Source organism: Homo sapiens, chromosome 16 (genome assembly GCF_000001405.40).
Source record: "Homo sapiens chromosome 16, GRCh38.p14 Primary Assembly".
NCBI lineage: Eukaryota > Metazoa > Chordata > Mammalia > Primates > Hominidae > Homo > Homo sapiens.
Window position 1 is genome coordinate 86,205,946 of NC_000016.10, and position 17,719 is coordinate 86,223,664.

General features: G+C 48.6%; 1 long non-coding RNA gene across 1 annotated transcript; it reads right to left on the reverse strand.

Annotated features, from left to right (window-relative positions):
* Positions 1-12,413: 12,413 nt before the first annotated feature.
* LOC124903744 (uncharacterized) lies at positions 12,414-17,127 on the reverse strand. The gene is made up of 3 exons (XR_007065165.1): positions 16,989-17,127; positions 16,572-16,912; positions 12,414-15,828 (listed from the first exon to the last, which is right to left on the reverse strand). It is a non-coding gene; the product is annotated as an uncharacterized LOC124903744 (long non-coding RNA).
* Positions 17,128-17,719: the final 592 nt, after the last annotated feature.

The window sequence follows — 17,719 nt, forward strand, 5'->3', positions numbered from 1 at the left end:
ACGAAGTCTTCGCTAATTCTGCTGACTTGAAATAATAAACAGCTTAACACCCTCCATTGTTCTGGGGCCTAATGAAAACCAAGTAGGCCTTCAGCCTGGGAAGCCCGCTAGGGTTCAGGAGAACAGCTGGGAGCCGAGGCCTCAAAGCTGATGACGCTTCCTGCTCATCTCCACAGGACAGGGAGTCAGTACATCTCATCAGAAGTGAGTACGTTATTTCTCCCAGTCTTTCCAGCTTTCTGATTACATCAAGGAGAAAGTGTTCCTTCAATGTTATTCTGTCTTACACCTTCCTAGCAGGGGCTGCCTTTTCCTTTTAAGAAAAAGCAGGCCAGCTGAGGTGGTTCACGCCTATAATCCCAGTACTTTGGGAGGCTGAGGTAGGAGGACTGGCAGGATCACTTGAGCCCAGGAGTTCAAGACCAGTCTGGGCAACATAGTGAGACCCCCATCTCTCTAAAACAAAACAAAAAATAAAAGCCAAGGCCTTTGGAGTGGAAATTCATCAGGCTACAGTATCGCTCGAATTCAATAACGTTACTTTGTTTTCACTGAATATAATTTGTATGGTTATGTTGATGGGTGTTCCTTTCCCATTTACAATTGCCATAGAAAGTTTCCTTTTAAAAAGAAATACATGGGGTACTCATGAACAGAAAGATGGCAGCAATAGAAACTGAGTGCTACCTGAGGGGAGGGAAAGAGGGGGCCAAGGGCTGAGAAAATAACTGTTGAGTATTATGCTCAGTACCTGGGTGATAGGATCATCAAACCCCAAACCTCAGCATCATGCAATATTCCCAGGAAGCAAACTTGCACATAAACCTGCTGAGTCTAAAATAAAAGTTTTTAAAAAAGATATTTATTAAATGAATTTTTTTAAGAAAGCAAATGATGCTGGGTGTGGTGGCTCACGCCTGTAATCCCAACACCTTGGGAAGCTGAGATGGGAGGATTGCTTGAGCCCGGGAGTTCGAGACCAACCTGGGCAACATAGAAAGACCTCGTCTCTACAAAAAAGTAAAAAAAATTAGCCAAGCATGGTGGCATGCATCTGTAGTCCTGGTTACTCAGGAGGTTGAGGGAGGAGGATTGCTTGAGCCTGGGAGGTGGAGGCTGCAGTGAGCCATGATCACACCCCTGCACTCCAGACTGGGCAGCAGAGCAAGACCTTGCCTCAAAAAAATTCAAAGGATAATATCATTTATGTTTATAAATAAATTTTAAAAGTTTAAAAATTAAAGTGAATTTATTTAAAGAAAATTAAGCAGATAAGCACAGGATAGCAAAGAGCTGCAGCAAAAATGTTGACAGTTTAGCAGAACTTGAATGATGAGGTTTCAGAAACACTGACCTAGAGATCTTCTGTCTTTACAGTGGGAAAAGCCAAGGCCCAGAGAGAGGGCAAGTGACTTGGTGGAGGCCACCAGGAGGTCAGTGCCAGAGCACTCACCAGGCCCTCAGTCAGCTGAAGGTGGCCATGAGGTGGCCCAGGCATGGCTGTAATTGGCCAGGTGAGGGAAGGGTAGGACCCAGAGCCCAGGGCTCTTCTCCTTCCAGGTGGACCAACGAGTGAACCTGTGCCACCCAGGATGGGCGGGGGCTGCTGTCCATTCTCTGCTGTGCCCAAGCGCATGGCTCCTCCTTGGAGCTTGGGCAATGTCCGCAGCCATTACCCCAGTGACATCACAGCCTCAAGGGAGATATTTCATCTCCACTTCCCAGGTGAGACCTGAAGCAGTTCTAGTAAAAGCAAGGCTGCTTGGCCCCTAGAACCCGGTCTCCTGACCCACAGAATTAGACCAAGACCACTTTCCACAACCCACTCATGCCTCCTGGAAAGATGCGTCTCCACGTGCGATGTTTCAACCTAAAACGTGCGAGGTGCGATTATCCAACGTGTACCTGTCCTTCCTGCATTTTCCTTTATAACTGTTTTAGTTTACAATGGGCAGAGGTTTAAAAGTTTTCCTTTATAACTGTTTTAGTTTACAATGGGCAGGGGTTAAAAGTTTTTTTAAAAAATAAAAATGTTTAAGGAGTAATTTATTAATCAATATAACCCTGCCATCCTGGGATTAACTGCTTTTGCATTTTGCTATATTTTATTTCTCTTTGTCTCTTTCTCCCTATGTACATTTTAAACCCAGTTTGAATTATTTTATATATAACTTTAGAACGTTTTTTATGCAATGTTTACTTTTCTTTATTTTTTAAGATAGATATATATATATATAAAATATATATATAAAATATATATATATATATATATATAGCCCCAAGCAGTTCTTGAAAAACCAAGGTCACTTAGCCCCTAGAACCTGGGAAGATATATATATATATATATATACACACACACACACACACACACACATACATACACACACGTATATATATATATATATATACGTGTGTATAGTGCATATATATGTATATATGTGTGTGTGTGTATATATATATATATTCCTGTTGTAAAAAATGAGGAAGATAAAGTCCAGAGAAGGAAGGTGATTCTGCCCATGAGCAGAAAAGCCAGGACAAAAGCACAGTGAGGACATCAGTTTGGTGTCTCCCTAGTAGCTCATTTCCTGCTTATTTAAACCATCTCCTATTGTTGGGCACATAGGTTGTTGCCGAATATTCACCTTTATAACTAACGATGCAAATGTAAATTCTTACACATAAATCTGTGTGAACCTGCCTGTTGATTTCTTTCTGTAAGTTCCAAATACAGGCATTAACACGAAAGGAGTGACGCATGGAAGTTTCACATCAAGGTTCCAAGCTCCTGGCGGGAACTTCCACATCACCCTTAGAAAGGTTGTAAGGTCATGTCCACATAACCAAGGCGAGCAGCCACTCATCTCTCTACGCCTTTGGCAACGCCAAGGATTATGACTTTAACAACTTTGTGTGTGTGTGTGTGTGTGTGTGTGTGTGTGTTGGGGACGAGGGGGATTTAAAAAGCAGGGTTTCCACGGGCGCCTGTAGCTACTCGGGAGGCTGAGGCAGGAGAATGGCGTGGACCCGGGAGGCAGAGCTTGCAGTGAGCCGAGATTGCGCCACTGCACTCCAGCCTGGGTGACGGAGCGAGACTCCGTCTCAAAAACAAACAAACAAACAAACAAACAAACAAAAAGCAGGGCTTTCCAGTCACCCAGCTTCACTTTATAACATCTTCGTCTTGAACCCGATCCACAAAGGGAGCCTTAAATTCATTAACGAGGCAGTGGGAGAGAAACTACTGGGCTTTAAAAAACCCAGGAGAAACTGGTGATCTTTCTATAAAAGCATGTAATTCCCTTTGGAGAGTTCAGGCATGGGGGCTGGGACCACCTCTCTGGACAGTTATCAGTCTTTGCTGCCTGTTGAGAATTTGCTGCAGGGGCCTAATGGGGGCACTGGGAGGCAGCAGAAGAGGCATGAGAGATGCCCTCTGCTGAGACTTGCAGGTGAGGAAATGGCTTGCAAACTCTCCTGCTGTGGTTGAAAGAAACTTAAGATAAGGGGAGCTCCTCTCTGTTGCAGTGGAGAACCTTCTGGGGCCTGGGGAGTTGTCTGTAGTGCCCACGTGGTCTCAGGAAGGGCTGAGGAGCTCATGGCTTCCGTGGGTTGGATGTTTGTGAAGTTGGTCCCCTGTGGAAGACACAGAGGCTCAGTGTCTGACCACTGCGCTGATTTGTCTGAAGTGTCCCTTGGCCACAATGGGAGGAAGAGACAAGGGCCCTACCCTGTGAAAAAATGAAGACAACACAAGAGTGGCTGGTAGGTGGTGCTGCGCCCTCTTGCCCCATATCACCTAGAGAATCTGCAGTCTCGGGTTCAGGGACTTAACCCACAGCCCTGGGCCTCTGGCTTTCTGCAGCCCCAGGCTCATTTCTAATATTTTATTTATTGAAGTGAAATTAACGTACCATAATATGAACCATTTTAAAGTGAACACTTCAGTGGCGTTTAGTACCTTCACACTGTGTGCAACCACCACCTCTGTCGAGTTCCAGGACATTTCCATTACCCCAGAAGGAAGCCCTGAGCTCATGAGACGTCATCCCTCATTCTCCCACCTCTCCCCAGCCCCCAGCTCTCCTACTTTCTGTCTCCACAGATTCGTCTATTCTGGACATTTCGTATGAATGGAATCAAAAAATATGGAATCTTTTTGTGTCTGGCTTAGTTTACTTCACATAATCTCTTCAAGGTTCATTCATGTTACAGTATATATCAGAATTACTTTCCTTTTATTGCTGAATAATATTCCATCATGTGGATAGACCACATTTTGTTTATCCACTCACTGCTGATGGACACTTGAGTTATTTCTACTTTTTGGTTGTCATGGCTAGGCTGCTAAGAATATTTGTGTACAGTTTCGCATTAGTACCTGTTTTCAGTGGTCACTCTAGGCTTCACTTTTTGAGAAACAGCCAGGTGTTTTCCACAGCGGCTGCACCATCTTGCATTCCCCCCAGCAGTGCTGGAGCGTTCCAGTTCCTCCAGCCTAGGCTTATTTCAATAGCATCTCTCGAGAGGTGACGCCCTGACTGATCGACGTAAAAATCAATGTGTGGGCCTGCAGGAAATGGTGATGCCTCCTACTAGTTATGTAGTCAGCACCCTACACGGGGTCGTGGGACTGCAGCCCCCCTCCAAGTTCTGATGCTGCCATTCCTGGCGGTCTCTCCGCCTCTCCTCACCTCAGTTTCCAAATGGGGCTACTAAATCCTAGTTGAAGGGCTTTCCTTAGCACAGAGCCGGGAACATAGCGGGCACTCTGCAGAGAATGGCTTTCAGGTCTCACCCAGAAAGTGCGAGGGTGCAAGGGGGCTGTGAGTGGTTCCCTGATTTGGGAGCTTACAGATCTTCCATGGTGTTCTCTTTAGCACACCACGCAGCTGTAACTAAGTCGGAATGTCCCACTGAAGTTATATCTAATGAAGACTGAAAAGAATAACAAAATGGGCTTCTAATGCTTAAGGAAATGCCAAAAGGTGGGGGATTTGAGCCAAGTTGGCTCTGACGTTGCCTCTGGTAGAGAGTGTAGTGTGTCCAGGGACAGCCCCACCCAGAATCAACAGCCGTCCAGGAGTAAGTGGCTGCGGCCACCTCCTGAGCCAGGCAGAGTCTGTATACAACCCTTCAAGGACTAAACAAACGCACTAATTTACTGAAAAAAGGCCTTTCAGGGCCACCTCTGGCACTGAGGTCTTAGGACTCATGGGACAAAACGAGCATCCATCTTCTGTGACACGTTCCTGTCAACAGTCACCCTAATGGAAACAGCACTCAACCTAATTGACATGGCAGACTCTTTACTTCCAGGGAGTCCTGCTCTCCTTGGGCAGTGAGGAGGAGCAGAGGGCTCAGGACATGGGGCCTGCACGGTGAGGGGCTTGGAGGGATAGGGGACCACAGGGCAGCAGGAGGTGGGGCAGGGAAGGCTCAGGGCAGGAGGGCTGTGGGGTAGGGAAGGCAGTCTGCTTCCGCTTTCCCAGTTGTCCTGCAGCTCCCTCAGGCTTATGGGATCACAGCCAGCTGTCCCCCTAGAAGTCCAGATACTCGGAGGATGCAAAAGCTGGGTGCGCTTTAAGGCCTTGGCAACCCCAGTTTTAAAATGCAAGGAGCCCCGGAGAGGAGTCCAGGCAGATGGACTCTCTGAGGATGACAGTGAAACCACCTACAGAGGCCAGGTTCTGGACTATGCAGTTCTCAACAAGCTGTGGCCGGGGGCCCTTCTCCCATCTCACCAAGAAAATGCTGCAGGATTATTGTGAGATCAAAAAGAAACAGAAGTTAACTTTTTAAATATTTTAAGCAAATATATCCAAAATATATCACCTGAACCTATAATGAACATAAAAATTATTAATATATTTAAATTCTTTTTTAAATTGTGATTTGATAATTGTTCAAAATTGGTTAGGTATTTTACATTTACAGCACACCTCACAGTTCAAATCAGGCACATCTCAAGCCCTCAGCAGCCACGTGGGGAGAGGAGCTGCCATATTGGACCGCATAGGCCTACCAGGGAAAGGCCCACCTCTAGCAGCAGGATTTCCTGTGCCAGGACTTCCTGGGGTGGAACTTCCTGGGACGGGACTTCCTGTTTTGTTTGGCAGCCACTACGTTTTGCCTGGGCTGGGTGAGGAGGGTTTGGGTTCAGCCTAAAGTCCTGGGTATGGTTTCTGCATAGTATGGCTCCTTAGCTGGCCCCAGACAGTGACTTCCTGAGATGAGACAGTGTCCAACGGCGGAGATTAGTTAGGTCCTTGATGTTATCTTTGCTATTTCCATATCTTTAAAATTTTATACATTTGGGGGAGGGATTAACTTAAGAATCTATTTGCGTATACATAAGATATGTGACAGCTTTCGGCAATAAGAATACTCATTGCTTTTATTTAGAAGAGCAGACAAATACATAACCAAGTAAATGTCCCATGATAATGGCCTGGACAGAGGAGTGAACTGTTGGGTGACTGAGAAATCAGCTTTGTGCCAGGCACTTTTATAGCGTGTAACTAACACAAATGTGAACTATGCTTATACTCCTAGTGAATGATGGTGCCCAGGTTTTCAGTCCAGATAGTGCAGCCCTAGATCATTTGATCCTACTTTACTACCATGTAGGCCATGGTCTCCTTTCTCTACAGTACATAGACCACCACCATATAGACCATAGCTCCTTCCTCCACACCACATAGATCATGGTCCCTTCCTCTAGAGCACACAGACCGTGGTCCCTTCCTCCACACCACAGAGACTGTGGCCCTTTCCTCCACACCGCACAGACCATGGCCCCTTCCTCACACCACACAGACTGTGGTCCCTTCCTCCACACCACACAGACCGTGGCTCCTTCCCACACACCACAGAGACTGTGTCCCCTTCCCCGACACCACACAGACCATGGCCCCTCACCGTACACCACACAGACCATGGCTTCTTCCTCCACACCACACAGACCGTGGCCACTTCCTCCACAGCACACAGACCATGGCCCTTCCCCTACACCACACAGACCATGGCTCCTTCCTCCACACCACACAGACCATGGCTCCTTCCTCCACACCAAACAGACCGTGGCCCCTTCCTCACACCACACAGACCGTGGCTCATTCCCCAACACCACACAGACTGTGGTCCCTTTCTCCACACCACACAGACCGTGGCCCCTTCCCTTACACCACACAGACCGTGGCCCCTTCCCTTACACCACACAGACCATGGTTCCTTCCCCTACACCACACAGACCATGTTTCCTTCCCCCATACCACACAGACCGTGGCCCCTCCCCCTACACCACACAGACCATGGATCCTTCCTATATACTACACAGACCATGGTCCCTTCCCCTACACCACACAGACTGTGGCCCCTCCCCATACACCACACAGACCGTGGCTCCTTCCTCTTTACCACATTGCTGTCTCCTTGCAGAGTGAGCTTTATACACACCTTTTCCTTTTTTGTGCCTCCCCATGGCTCCCAGCATGGTGGACACTCAGGAAATATCCCCTAGGGTGCTCAGTGTTGGACAGCCTCTCCATTTCACTCACTGACCTACCGCAGGAAGACCAGGTGTGTGTCTTCAGTGCTATGCTTTGAGCTCTGTACAAAATCAGACAAGCCTTTAGGATCAGAGTGGAAGGGACCGTAAAAGGAGAAGTGTGAACGGCAAAGAAAATAAACACACATGTGTGCTGGGGCTGTGGGAGTGAGTGTGTATTTGCGTGAGGGTGGGGCCCAGGAGAGGGGGCTATTTAATTTAGGCAAAGGCTCAAGCTGATCCCTGCTGTTAGGGAGATGCCCAAATGGGGAACCAGGAAGGAGCCCAGGGATGCACCCTGCCTCAGATGTCTGCCCTTCATTCGTGAATCCATTCATTCATTGCTTCTTGAACCCAGGCCTCATTCATTCACAAGCATTTGCAGATTCTTATGGAGTGCCGGGGCTGTGTTAGCAGGGCGGTGCCCAGTTAATACCCAATGGCTAGAGCAGCTGACACTGACAGGCTTGCCACTAGCCAGGTGTCCTTTGAAGAATTTCGCTTAGATTAACTCCTCACTCCTCCCAATGGTCCTATTAGCTCCCTGCCTTGTTCGCCCCATTTCATAGGCAAGGACAGAGGCGCATGGCCTGAGCTCCACTGCAGGCATGCATGGTGTGGCCTGCAAATGCTTCCTGGACATGCCAGCTCAACTGGCTCCTTGCTAAGGAGAGGCGGCTCTCTGTGGGAGTGAATGCTTCCACGTGGAGGAAAAGACCTGGACTCGTTGACCTGGGATGGCGATTCTTCCCAGGGTGCAGGTTAGAATCACCTGGGTAGCTTTAAAACGTGCTTGTCTGCTCCCCACCCCAGACACTGACTGCATTGGTCTGGCAGGGTCCTGGCCATCAGAGCTGTTGTTCTGTTTGTGCTTTTGTATTATCCCTGGGGATTCTAAAGAGCAGCCTGGGTGGAAAAGCTCTGCCCTAACCTGTTGCCCTGGAAGTAAGGTCCCCACACCAGCAGCATAGGTGTCCCCTGGGAGCCTGTTGGAAATGCAGAGTCTCAGGCCCCACCCCAGACCTGCTGAGTCACAATCTGCACTTTGACAAGTGCTCTGGGGAACTCGGTGTGCCTGGCAGTTGGAGGACCCCGGTCCAGGGTTTCTGGCTGTGTCATCTCGGGCGAGTCTTTTAATCAATGTGTGTGTGACGTCAGTTTCCTCATCTGTAAAATGGGATAATGAGGAAGCCACTGTGCAGTTCACGTAAAGTTCTTAGAGTTGTCCTGGCCAGAGCAGGTGTCCTGTAGTCGTCATCTATTATCCCTATTTTGTTTGTGACGCTGGCACACCCCTCCAAGCCTCTCCCAGTTGTCCACCCCAGGGAGGGGTTGTGGAGAAGAGCCAGCCATGGCCTTCCTGAAGCTCTGCCTGCTCCAGGGCCGGCCCCAGGCCCTGACCCCACTGGAGACAGATAGCCTGGTCCTAATTACACTCTGCCGTGTGGAGATCTCAGCGAACTTCCTCACTTCTAATTTGGGAACAGAATTTGGACCTTTCCAAGTTTCAGTTCTGTCCGGAGCTGGCAGGATCAGCTTCCTGGTTCAAAGGAAAAATAGCTCATTAGGCTTTTTGGGTTTCAGACGACTCCAACTGAAGAACGTTTTGATGAATTATGTGTAAATGAGTCAGAAACAGACAGATTGGATTTCCTTTCCATGTGGGTTTGAAAAGGAAGGAAAGCCATGGTTGGCCTGGCATGTTGGGGTGCTTTGCTCAATGGGTCCTGTCTGATCCCCTGAAACGGAAGGAGCTTGGTAAAGTGGAAAGAGCATAGACTTGGGGGCCACATGGTCCTGGATTCGAATTTCTCCCTTGTCTCTCACAGCTGGGTGGCCTCAGGCAGGCTGCGTGGCCTCTCAAAGGCTGTTTGCTCAGCTGCACATGCTGATTATAGCACCCATGTCCTGGGGTAGTTGGGGCAACGGAATGAGCAATGGAATGAGATAACGTCTGTAAGGCCCAGTGCAGACTGACCCTGGTAGGTGATCGATAATCAGCAGTTAATTATGGTTAAGCAAGTTTGGGAAACCTTTTTCCTCTTTATGACTTCATTAGTTTCCTAGGCTGCCATGACAAATGACCACAAGCTTAGTGCCTTAAAACCACACAAACTTATTCTCTTACAGCTATGGAGGTAAAAAGTCTGACATACGCCTCACTGGCCTAAAATCAAGGTGTCTGGAGGGCTGGTTCCTTCTGGAGGCTCCAGGGGAGAATCTGTTCCTTGCCTTCTCCGGCTTCCAAAGGCCACCCGCATTCCTCAGCTATTGGCCCCTCCTCCATCTTCAGAGCCGATCGCACGGTGTCTCTGAACAGCTCCCATTGCCACAGCTCCCTCTGCCCCCAGTGAGCACCCTGAGATTACCCTGGACACACCCGGATCATCTGTGATAACTCTCCCCTCTCAAAGTCCCTAACTGAATCCCATCTGCAAAGTCCCTTTGGCCACATCAGGCAACATATTCATGGGTTCTGTGGATCAGGACATGGATGTCTGGCAGAAGGGGCATCATTCAGCCAACTGCAAGGAGGTTGCTGAATGGACAGGAGCCTTAAAGGCCCCACGTCACCTTCCATATGTCTCAACTTCTCAATAAGAAAGACCAGTGGGTATCCCAGATGCGGCTCTGAGTGCCGGAAGTGCAGTGGCACTCACAGCATCCCTGGTGGGGCCACATCCCCATTTTGCAACTGGGGAACTTGAGGCTCAGGGAAAGTAGAGAACTCACTGCAGACCAGCACCCCATGATCAGCAAGAGGTGGTGCTGGGATTTGAATCCAGGCAGTCCTGCTCCCACCAGCATGTGCTTGCTTAGCTGCTGTGCTCAGCTTCCTCCCACAGAGAGGGAAGGAGGCTAAGCAGAGGGGACTAGCGAGCTGGCTGGCAGCCACGCTGAGAGTTGGCACAGATAGCCTCCCTGTCATGGTCACCCTGATCCCACTCACAGGAAGCTGAGCAGGGCCACCCCAGATACCATCACGGCTTTTGTCCTATTGTGGACAGGGATTCGAGGCCTTTGCTCCCCACCTTGGATATCAACAGTGATTTTGAGTTGACCTGCAGTGTATATGAGCTACGCGCCTGACTTTGGGATGCCTGGAAAAGGATGCTGACCTCGGACGGAGGTCAGCAGAGGACATTTCTGGGAGGAGAGACCCTGAAGCCAAGGTCAGATATCTGAACCCTGCTCAATGCCATCCCCGTCAACGAGCAGGGCTGGCTGGGCTCTGACGCCCATCATTTGGAGAGAACACTTGTGTTCTGTGCCTGCAGGGGTGGCCATGCCTGCTCATGGACCTCTCTGCAACCACACCCTGTCCTGGGGTGGCACAGAAGCACCTTGGGTAAGAATGAGGGGCTCCAAAACCAGGATGCCCAGGTCTGAGTCCAGCGCCATCAGCACCGGCTGTGTGACCTTGGGCAAGTAACTTGCCCTCTTGGAGCCTCTGCCTTCTCAGCAATCCACAGGAGCTGATGACGGTGCCCCTCGTGGAGTTGTCATGAGGCTAGAGTAAGAAAATGCACGGACAGCACTTCACACATGTCTGCACTCAAGAGACCCCCACCACGAGGGTCATGCTGTGGCCTTTCCAGGCACCGGGCCCCTCCTTCGGGACCATCCCATGCCGAGCACCAGCCCAGCCCAGCAGCCCACAGGATGCTCAGACCCCAGGCACCGGCTCTGCTAGGCACATGTAGTGGCTGTGCTGCAGGACGGCCGCTCTCAGAGGCTCTGGCTGGAAAACAGGGTGCAGGCCAAGGGTGAGGACTCTGCCCTGGGGGGGCGTGTGCTGGGTTCCGACCCTACAGCCTGTGGGGGCAGGGAGGAGCCTCGGAGCAGGGTTAGCAGGAGGGCTGAGCCTCGGCTTGCAGGATCTAAGGACACCCAGGGCTCCTCCTGGCTACAGCAGAGGGACTGGCCACCACCGGCCTATCCCATCTGAGGGGTCTCCCGCTGCCCGTTCTTCCCTTCCTGAAGTGTGCCGAGAGCTGGATGTGCACTCATTTTCATCTGGGGATCGGAAGTCAGCCTGCAGCTTGAGCTAAGGCTTCCCCTGCAAAGACACATTCGCCATCTGATTTCTGCCAACCCCATAATCCTCATCAAAAATGAACGTCATTTGACTGAGACCCCCCCGTGTCGCCTGGACTCAGCGGCCCCATGTGTGTGGCTTGGGTCTGCCTGCCTCGCTGTAACCTGGGAGTGAGGCCAGCTCCGCAGACAAGTGGCCTACACAGGCACTCAGGGGCTCGCACTCAGAAAGGCCTGTGCTGGGTTTAATGCCCTGCGGACACCATCCTAAGATGGGTAACTGTTGAGCACAGCGCCTTGCATTTTCAGCTAGCCCTGGACCCCCAGATTATGTCATGGGTCCTGCCTGGGAGAGCTCTTCCTCCCACAGGCCCGGGCTGCTGACTCTGATACCTGAAGCTGACAGTGGCTTTCCGGATGTTGCAAATTACAGATTGCTGCTTGTAGCCACTCAGGTTATATAACATGAGGTAATCAATCAAAAGGAGCAAATACTGGGCAGAGAATCAAAGCCGGCCACAGTGGGAAACCAAGCAGGTTGCCCAAATGTCTCATTCCCTCTCAGGGAATGAGAGTCAAGGGATGCGGCTGGCCTCTGCCAGAGCCCAGGTGTTTCATCTTGGGCTGTAATCATAATCGTCATCATCACTATTTTCCTGGGACTGACTGTGCCAGTGCTGTCTTCCGGGCCCCCCGGTGCCTCTCTTTGCCCCCCAGACCTATACCCTAGGCTCTCCTTCCCTGTCAGGCTCTGGACCACCTGGAACCATCTGTGGGGGCGTTGAAAGGTACTCCTGCAAAAGACACATCCATGTCTCAGCCTGGGACCTGTGAATACGACTTTATTTGGGGAAAAGGGCCTGCATAGATGTAATTAAAGATCTTGCGATGCGATCATCCTGGATTAGCATGGGCCCTAAGTCCAATGACAAGTGCCCTCAAGAGAGTCAGAAGAGGAGAAAACATGGACACAGAGAGACACAGAGAAGGCAGCCATGTGGAGACAGAGGCAGAGGTTGGAGGGATGAAGGCACAAGCCAGGGAACACCTGGAACCTTGGGAAGCTGGAAGAGGCAGGAAGGGTTCTCCCCTGGTGCCTTCACAGGGAGCACAGCCCTGCCCACACCTTGATTTCAGACCCCCGCCTCCAGGCCTGTGGCAGAATACATTTCTGTTTCATAAGATACCTGGCCTATGGTAATTGTCGCCTCTCTGCTGGGTGGCCTCTTCAGCCCCACCCCACCCCACCTACCCGTGGGGCTTCCTTCCCTGCACAGCTACCCCTCCTGCCATTCCCTCAACCTGGGCCACACCTTTGGGAAGATTGCCTTCTCATGCCAGCTTCAATTTAAAGCCCAGTTTAAACGGCCATTTACTTCCAGTTGAGCAGGCCCCTGACTGACACGAAGTAGCTAATAATGGCCATTACTGATCTCCCACTGTCCCCTGACAGGTGATGTGAAGCGGGGCGGGGGGGAGGCCCAAGCTTGCTGTCTCATTGGAGTCTACCTTGGAAATTCCCCAACGGAACGTGGGCTCCAGGATGGCAGGGGTTTTGATGTATTTATCTGTTAATTGAAATTTGTATTGAGGTCATTGTAGATTCCCAGGTGGTTCTAAGACATAATACAGAGAGATACAATGCAGACTTCATTTAGTTTCCTCCAACTGCAACATTTTGCAGAACTACAGAATGTTACAACCAGGATAATGACACTGACTCAATCCACCCGTTTTACTCGGTTTCTTATTTTTAACCTGCAGGGGTGTGTGTGTGTGCGTGCGTGTGTGTGTGTGTTTCTATGCAATTTATTACATGTGTAGGTTCCTGTATCATCCCCACTATCATGATACGGAACATTTCCATCACCACAAGGATTTTTAAAAATCTGATTTCTTTAGGAATTTAAAAATTCTATTTCCTCACCCCTTTATTCCCAGTGCCCAAAACTATGCCTGGTACCCAGCAGAGGCTGAAAGCATATTCACTGGGTGAACGCTGGGCGAGTCTCATCCTTTCCGCAGGTGAGGAAGCCAGGGATCTGGGGCCTCCCACCCTGTGCTGCCCAGGGGACGCGCAGGTATGGATTCCTTCCCGGATCTGCCTGACTTCAGTCCGGGCTCTCTCTGCTCTTTTCATGGGTTGGAATTTTTGGAATCTAAATGGAGGAGGGTTGTTCATCCCTGTGAAATTTCCTCCTGTGCCTCCCATTTATCAGCCACAGCCTGAGCATCCTTTCTGTTCAGACTCTGCAGTCCAGCACGTCTGTTCCTCGCAGCTGTGCTCAGCGAGCGTCCTCTGGGCTCCTCCAAAGTCCAAACGGCTGATAAAAGCACTGAGCAGGACGCGAAGGAGCCTGGAGCCTGGACGGCCTGATAACTGGCTTCACTTTGATGTTCTCCAAGTTCAGAGCGGGCCAGGCCTCCTCTGCTGGCGTTACACGCTTGTTTATTTTTGTCACTGTGTAGGTTTTTGTGATTTCTCCCTCCCAAGGGGGACAGCTATCATGATTGCTGTCATTACCCTATTGGAAATGTTGCTAAATGTGCTCTCCTGCTCCATCCGACCCCTCCTTCCGAAGGGCCCGAGGAAGACCACCCACGACGGGCAGAGCTTTCCTCCATTTAATTTTAGTCTCAGGATGTAAGTTTGCAATTTCATCACAATAAAAAAAAAAAAATGAGGCTGGCCTTTTCTACCCCAGGCCTGTGTGCCCTCCCTCCCTGATGAGGCAGATTAAAGAGTTGCCCAAATGTCTCCAAGAACTGCACGACTTCCTAGGGGAGGACTATGGAACAGTTTCGCAAGAAGATGCGCAGGACTGTCCTTCTAAGTTACGTTCCAAATGGGTTAGATCAGAAGAGACGCAACTAAGCCATGTTCTTTTCATAAATACCAGTAAATTCCTCGGCGGGCACCAGAAGAACCACATGATTTCTTCAGAGACTAGAACACAGATGTAGACCGATGCGGTGTTCTAGGGGGCACACCTGCAAAGACCCCAAATTCTTCTAAGACACCATTTCATTGTCCCTTCATATGTGACCTCTATGTATGGAATGTTTAAGTGTTGTATTTTTTCTTTCTTTTCTTTCTTACTCTTTTTTCTCTAAATTTTGTAGTCCAAGTCTAAGATACACACACACTCACACACACACACACACATGCTCACACACTCAGGCACAGGCTGTCAGTACTTTCCCTTCCCCAGCTTCCAGAGTTTTCCCCTTCTTGGTCTTTTGGGAAATGTTGCAACAGGGTTTGACCATAATGAGATTCAAGTGCACAATGTGGCCCCAGGATCTCTTCTGGTTTCCATGACCTAACTTCAGTTTTGTCTTCCTTCTTCATGCTCTCTCTCCTTTTTAGCTTGCTTTCTTTCATTCTTCAGAGTGGTGGTACATTTCTTCCTAGAGAAGATAATTTTCCACTCTACCTTCAGTTAGAACATTGGGAGAGAGGAATAAACCTGCTTGTCTAGCCCTTAAACCCACAATTTGTAAGAAAATGGTCTAGTTGAAGGAACAGCAGTTGAAATGAATTCAGACATATAAAAAGATGCTCTGTCCCATTTATGGAAGAAAACATGAATCCCAACCACAATGAGACAGTTTCCTCAATACCTCAGAGCTGAGTGCGCACTTTGCCCACTGCATCACCCGAGGGGGCCCAGCTGCCTGTGCTGGTATTGGACTAGCCGACGTCAATATGTGTGCTGCAGTGGGCGGTGGGATTGGTGCTCTCACACATTGCTAGCTGGAGTGGGATCCAGCACAACCCCTTTGGAAAGACATTTGGCGATACTATCAAAATGAAAAATGCATTTACTCTTGGACTCAGCCACTCCACTTCTGGGAATTCATCTCACATTACAGCATGCACGCACGCTTAGAAGCAGGCATCAGCTTATTTATTCATTGCAGCATTGTTTTTGGTAGCAAAAGTTTGCAGATAAACTAGATGCTTGTGCACAGGAGATGAGTCAAATAAATGATGGTATAACCATCCAATGCAAAATGGTGCAGCCATTAGAAGTCAAGAAGCAGACGCAAAATCTGCACCTGGAACCATCAGAGTGACACGTGGCAAAGTGGAGACCTTTGTGTTGTGGAAGGGCATGTGTACCGTCGACTCACCGTAGATGAGTTGAGTGAAGCTGGGGAAGTGATTTAACTGTTCTCTCTGGGCCTCACTTTACTCCTTTGTAAAATGGGGTAGTAACAGCATCCACGCCATAGGGCTGTTGAAGAGATTTCATAAATCAATGTATGTTAAACAGGACAGTGCTTGGCATGTAGCAAGTGCGGCATAATTATTAGTTATCATTATCATCACTGAAAATAAATCATCTATGTGTTAAAACAGGCATAGAATATCCCTGGAATGATACCCCAGAGCCACAGGTACTAGGGATTGCCATTGCCATTGTTAGGGAACCCGAAAGACTGACAGACAGGATGAGGTGGAGGAAGACTTACTTACATTTAACTTGTGTCTTTGGAGTTTCTACCTAGTGTCTGTATTCAGAATTTTTGAACATGTTAATGAAAATTAGCAACATGAAGAATTGTACAGTGAGCATCGATGTACTTATCATCTAGTTTCTGTAATTGCCATGTTGGTCTGTTTAGTTTAACACACGTCTATCCCTCCATCCATCCAGACGTCCGTCAATACACTTTGATGCCTTTCAAAGTAAGCTGTAGATCTCAGAGCCCATCCTCCCAAACACTTCTGTATGTGGATCATTAGCCAGACTTTCGTATTTGTTTATGGGCTTTCCTTGTTAGGTAAAATGTATATAGAGTCAAATGCAGACATGTAGTATACTGTTTGATGGTTTTGACAATGAATTGTCTATTCAAAATTTAATTATCAACAAATGACATGTGACATGTGGATACCTTTATACGAGAGAGAGAGAGAGAGAGAGAGAGAGAGAGGAAGAAACTGAGACAAACCAAAATAGTATTTTGAACTCACTGAGAATGAAAAAAAACATCATGAGCCAATGTGATAACTTATCAGGTGGAGAAGGATTTACAAGTGATCAAGATTTTTGCAGACAGGTCGCAGTCATGCGCTGTTTCTGTTCCCGGAGGGCAGTCTCCTTCTGGAACCTTCGCAGCTAGCTTCTCAGGCAGGAGGCATGGCGGCTGAAGTCGGGGCTGCTGGTCTCCCCCTGCAGGGATTTGAATCCCAGTCCCTCCTCTCACGAGCTGCGTCAGCTTGGAGAAGTTACTTAGCTTTTCCGAGCCTTCGCTTCTTCATCTGGGAGGGTTGCTGCTTCCTGCTTCTCGGCTTTGTGGGGAGGATTCTGTGAGCTAAAATACATGGCACGTTTAGAACACCTGGCACCTGGCGGTCCTTAAATGCTGTCTTTTGCTATTAATCACATACCTCCCTATCTCTGCTTTTAAAAAAATTGAATAGAAGAAGCCAAACGTGCAAGGTTAAGAGCTTTTCATCCTCAAGGAAAAAACTTCATCTCTCCCTGCAGCTTCTCTGTCCTCCCCACCCTGCAAAAAGCCGGGGAAATGAATCAGCCTCCAGCCTCTTGCTTTTTCTAATTCTTTGATTACTGCATGATTGCAGCATCCACTCAGTCTGGGGCTAAAAAATCGAAAGAAAACAAAAATTCTTGAGCCATTTCCAGATACCGAATCTGACTCAGTGTTGGCAAAACCTACAAAATGAGTGACCAAGAAGGATAAACAAGTTTAGGTAAACACTCTATAGACTGATTCATGATTTAAGTACATCAGTTAGCATTTAGCTTCATTTACCATCGTGTTTTAATGTCATTAAGAATGTAACTTCTTAGAAAAACTAAGAGAGTCTGTTTTTAGCCCAGACATGCAATTAAGGGAATTAGTAACGTGATACATCATCCTCAGGAACTCTGATATAGTAAGAAATCTCGTGCAACCCTTTATAAAGACGTTCTTACAACCGACGCCAGAGTTCACGGAGTTTCAATGTGAGGGCAGCAGGGAGCAGGAAAAAAAAAGGAAAAAGAAAAAGAATGAAATTACTGTCTTGCTCTGAACAGCAGTAAGAAAGGGTCTGGAATCGTGTGCAGATATTAAATAGCATAAAATAGGGGTCCATTCTGGAGAATTAAGTCATTT